General features: G+C 42.9%; 4 annotated features.

The window, feature by feature from the left end:
- Window positions 3,640-3,784: an enhancer, noted in NCBI's record as "145 bp enhancer 150 fragment used in the MPRA reporter construct; PK_construct_1581". NCBI's record gives its function as "activates an SV40 promoter by MPRA in HepG2 cells {active_cell/tissue: HepG2}" and the evidence as "EXISTENCE:reporter gene assay evidence [ECO:0000049][PMID:23512712]".
- Window positions 3,640-3,953: a biological region, named in NCBI's record as "HNF4 motif-containing MPRA enhancer 150".
- Window positions 3,659-3,953: an enhancer, noted in NCBI's record as "tiled region #2710; HepG2 Activating DNase matched - State 5:Enh". NCBI's record gives its function as "activates a minimal TATA promoter and a strong SV40 promoter by Sharpr-MPRA in HepG2 cells {active_cell/tissue: HepG2}" and the evidence as "EXISTENCE:reporter gene assay evidence [ECO:0000049][PMID:27701403]".
- Window positions 3,705-3,718: a transcriptional cis regulatory region, noted in NCBI's record as "HNF4 motif; MPRA enhancer 150 activity is reduced when this motif is scrambled". NCBI's record gives its function as "necessary for full activity of MPRA enhancer 150 {active_cell/tissue: HepG2}" and the evidence as "EXISTENCE:site-directed mutagenesis evidence [ECO:0005528][PMID:23512712]".

Raw genomic sequence — 4,574 nt, forward strand, 5'->3', positions numbered from 1 at the left:
TTTAATAGAGATGGGGTTTCCCTGTGTTAGCGAGGATGGTCTCGATCTCCTGACCTCGTGATCTGCCGGCCTCAGCCTCCCAAAGTGCTGGGATTATAGGTGTGAGCCACCGTGCCTGGCCTAAAGCATCCTTTTTATGAAGACTGTTTTAAAATCTTTGTCAGATAATTCTAGTATATTTGTCATCTTCTTGTTTGTGTCTGTTGATTATCGTTCAGCATTCAAATTGTGGTTTTTTTTTTTTTTTTTGGTTCTCATATGACAAGTAAATTGCGATTGAAACCTGGACCTTTTGAATATCATAGTAAGAGATTCCGGATTTCATTGAAAGCTTCTAGTGTAGCAGGACTTCCTTGACACCACGTCAGCAAGAGAAGAGCAGTATCTCCTCATTCCTGCCAGGTGGGGTAGAAGTCCAAGATCCCTATCAGGCCTCCGCTGATATCCAAGAGGGGTGGAGTTACTCTTTATTACTGGGATGGTAGTTTAGTATCAATACTAGACCTCTGCTGATACTGTCCTGGTTGAGAGGAGCATGTGAGGGGGGCCTCATCACTACGGGGTGATACAATAGATCTCATTTCTGTAACTGATCACAAGGCCATAACTAATCTTTTTTTCTTTCTTTCTTTTTTTTTTTTGAGACAGAGTCTCACTCTGTTGCACAGGCTGCTGTGCAGTGGCATGATCCCAGCTCACTGCAACGTCTGCCCCATGGGCTTTCAAACAATTCTCCCACCTCAGCCTCCCAAGTAGCTGGGATTACAGGTACCTGCCAACACGCCTGGATAATTTTTGTATTTTTAGTAGAAATGGGGTTTCACCGTGTTGTTCAGGCTGGTCTTGAGCTCCTGACCTCGCGACCCACCCGCCTCGGCCTCCCAAAAAGCTGGGATTACAGGCAAGAGCCGTGGCGCCTGGCCCACTAATCTTTTTTTCCGCCTTCCTTCCCACGTGCTCTGTTTCTCTTGCCATCTTCCAACAACCAGTTTGTCAAAGGATTCTTAATATGGTGACAAAAACCTTTGCCATCCTCACAGATCTGAGACCTTAACAGTCCTTCTACTAAGGACTTCTGTTAATATTTACTACCATGCCTAATTTTACAAAGAAACCATGAAGGGAATAAGTTAGATTTTATTCATATATCTCCTGCTCTAATGTATATGAATAATCCAATTTCTCCCATAGCTAAAATCATAACATCTTTTTTGACCTAATTCATCTAATAAAATAGGATACCCCAAGTTCCCAAGTAAATTAGTATTAAAATTCTCAGCTCTCCAAGACCTGAGAAGAACTGACAACAGATGGCAAGCAGGTGTGTAACCTAGGAAAGCACCAAATCTATTTCCATCTTTCAATTCTGTGAACCATATGTTTTAGCTGTGAGTAAAACACCATCATATGTTGGATCAGTACTTCATAGCATTCACTTTACTCCTCAGGATGGCTGCACAAGCTGGGAAGGCTTTGTTTCCAGCTGTGGCACAGTCGTTGCTTCAGAATAATGGGATACAGAATCAGACCAGTGAATGCCCTCAGCGTGGCATCATAGCCTTACTCCCCTGACAGTGAGGGAGAGTCCCTAATCATGAGATGTCATGATGGTGTGTATGGAGTTCTACAAGCTCATGGATTATAGTTCTGTCAAAGCCATGACAGACACAGAAAGAAAATACAAATCTGGAAAAAGTGTCTCTGTCAGTAAAACCAAATCTCTGCCCTCATCATAATAGGAGGGGCCTAATGTGAACAATTCACTACTGTGATGCTGGATTCCTTTATCAACAAATAGTGACCCAAAATTTTAACCTATACTGGGTGCTTAGCAATAGTAGCCTATTGGGTATTCAGCAGTGGTCAGTTACAAGTCAGCCTTGGTGAGGGACATGCTTGTGGCTGAGCAGATGCACAGTTCCCATTGCTGCCACCAGGGCTACTTTGTTCATGAGTTCATTAAGCAAATTCTGGGATGATCAGTAAGGGAACTTACCAACATCCCAAGGCAAGCCCGTCTACTTGACTATTAGGATGCGCCTTTGCAGTGGCAGACTGTTGGTAAGAATTCTATGGAACAGAATGATGACTTTCTTTAGGGTATTAATCATCTAGCTAAATCCTCACACTTCCCAGCTATCATTACTTCTAAGTACAGCCCTGTAACTAAATGAGATGTAAATAAAAACATTGTATGGAATCTCCAGAAAGATTGCTTAAAATAAGTAGATTGGCTGGGCGTGGAGTCTCATACCTGTAATCCCAGCACTTTGGGAGGCTGAGGCAGGTGGATTACCTGAGGTGAGGAATTCGAGACGAGCCTGGTCAACATGGCAAAACCCCATCTCTGCTAAAAATACAAAAATTATCTGGGTGTGGTGGCATGTGCCTATAATCCCAGCTACTTGGGAGGCTGAGGCAGGAGAATCATTTGAACCCAGGAGGCAGAGGTTGTAGTGAGCCAAGATTGCGCCATTGCATGCCAATCTGGGCAACAAGAGCAAAACTCCATCTAAAACAAAAAACAAAAAACAAAAAAAAACCTGTTACACTGTTTTCATTACTATTATCACTATCATTATTATTAAATATAGGAAATGTTGACCCAAGGTATATTATTTATAAATATTCCAGAAATAATTCAATATGATATGAGAGTGAAAAAACAAAATGCTGCAATTCTACAATATCATTTTAAAATGAAGAAAGGAAACTTCTTCATTTTAAGGTATTTGATATGTCACTCTGAAACAGCTTTAAATGGAGAAAGATAATAAATGATTGTACCTATTACTCTATTATGGCTTTATTGAACGTATTGCATGCCCACAGGGTACTATAGATAATACAGCTAGTACCTCCCCTTAGGGACTAGTTACCTACACTTAAGACCACAGGCAGACTCTTACTCATTTAAGGGATCTATCTGGAAATAACTTATAGCCCTGATCATTCCCCACTGTCTAGCCCTGCCTAGATGCCTCAAAAAAACTAATACAAAACAGGATGTGAAGAAAGGGCATATGCAGAAATGGAAAGCCTATCTAAAATGATTTCTTACCAATCTCAGCAGTGCCAACTATCACAAGAATCAGTTATATGAGACTCTAATCACTCAGGGGGTATGTCATACAATTCCACCAACGACAAAGTGGGGGCACACCTACAGGTCTTCCTAGTGATTTTTCCTCTGCAAACCCCGTTCAGGCACATTATTGATCCATTAATTCATATTTACTGGGCACCCGCTATGCACAGAGCTAATTACTCAGGAAATATATTTATAGCATAAATCTCAACCCTTCAAGCTGGGAAGAATTATGCATTAATTCATTAATTCATTCATGCATGCATCCAAGGATTTAACAAATATTTAATGAACATCCACTAAGTGCCAGACACTCTACTTAGGAATGGGATGTGAAAATAAATAAGACAAAATTCACGGAGCTGTCTAGAGTTTGATCCCACAGCCAACACAACACATTTACCCCTCTGCACCTGTGAGTCTTTCCTGGTAGGGTGGCATATGTGATGGAGCAGGCAGCAGGTCAAAGTAGTTGGGGGTGAAAGAAACAGTACCTTGGTACGCAGGTGGTGCCCATAAGGTAGTGGCTTTTGTCCCCAGGGAGAGGTGAAAAGAGGACACAGGTTAGAAGGTCGCTCTTTGCGGTGCAGGTGGCACAGACATCAATCAATGAAATTGACCTTTGGATTTTAGAGACATGCTCCTTGAATAAACAAACATTTCATCAACTCTGGGAAAACTTGTTTCAGAAGCCTGTTGAGCAATAGTTAACAAAGGGCATCCGGTGTGCTACTCGTTTGCATTTTGCTGCATGAGTACGGTTTCTGCCTTGCTCCCCCCACCCTTCTTGTGGACCGTCTGAAACTAAATGTGCATGTCTGGAAGTTAATGCCGTATTGTGCTGCTGGCTCTGTCTGCCTCAGCTAATGGAGTGTAGAGAGCTATGGTTGTTTGCAACTTCTGTCCTCCCCTTAGGGGTTCCAGTCAGTAATTCCAGCCAGTTCTGATAAACAAAGGACAAAAAGAACTGGCACAGAGTTTGGAAATTGCCTGCTCGGTGCCAGTTCCAGCCTGCCACAGGCCAGTGCCCAGAGAGTGACAGTGCAGCTGTAGGTAGACCACATTGGGGTGAGCCGTCATCGTCAAGCATGGTGTTAGATGAACAAGTGTACCCTGGAGTAGAATGAGGGACCTCTCAGAGAGGAAAGGGGCCTCGAGAGGTCACCTGGCGAGGAGCTGGATGAGCCACATGGCTGGGAGTATTCTCCAAGGACACTTATCAGCTGTGGAGAGGAAACTCCGTCCTTTGCTTCTGTCCTTCTTACTTATTGCAGATTGGTTAGTTTGTTTATTTTCCAAAAGAAGACCTCAAGATAAGGCTTGCATGCAGGTAGTTTATTTGTGAAATAGTCCCTGGAAGCATAAATAAGACAGTGATGGCAATGATTCAGGGCAGGAGAAAAGCCATGAAAGGGAGTATTATTGTGTGGGTTGAGCTCTGCAGGCCCCTGGGTTTCAATCCCAGTGTAGACCCTCCAGGAAACCT

The sequence above is a fragment of the Homo sapiens genome, chromosome 8 (assembly GCF_000001405.40).
Source record: "Homo sapiens chromosome 8, GRCh38.p14 Primary Assembly".
NCBI classification, from domain to species: domain Eukaryota; kingdom Metazoa; phylum Chordata; class Mammalia; order Primates; family Hominidae; genus Homo; species Homo sapiens.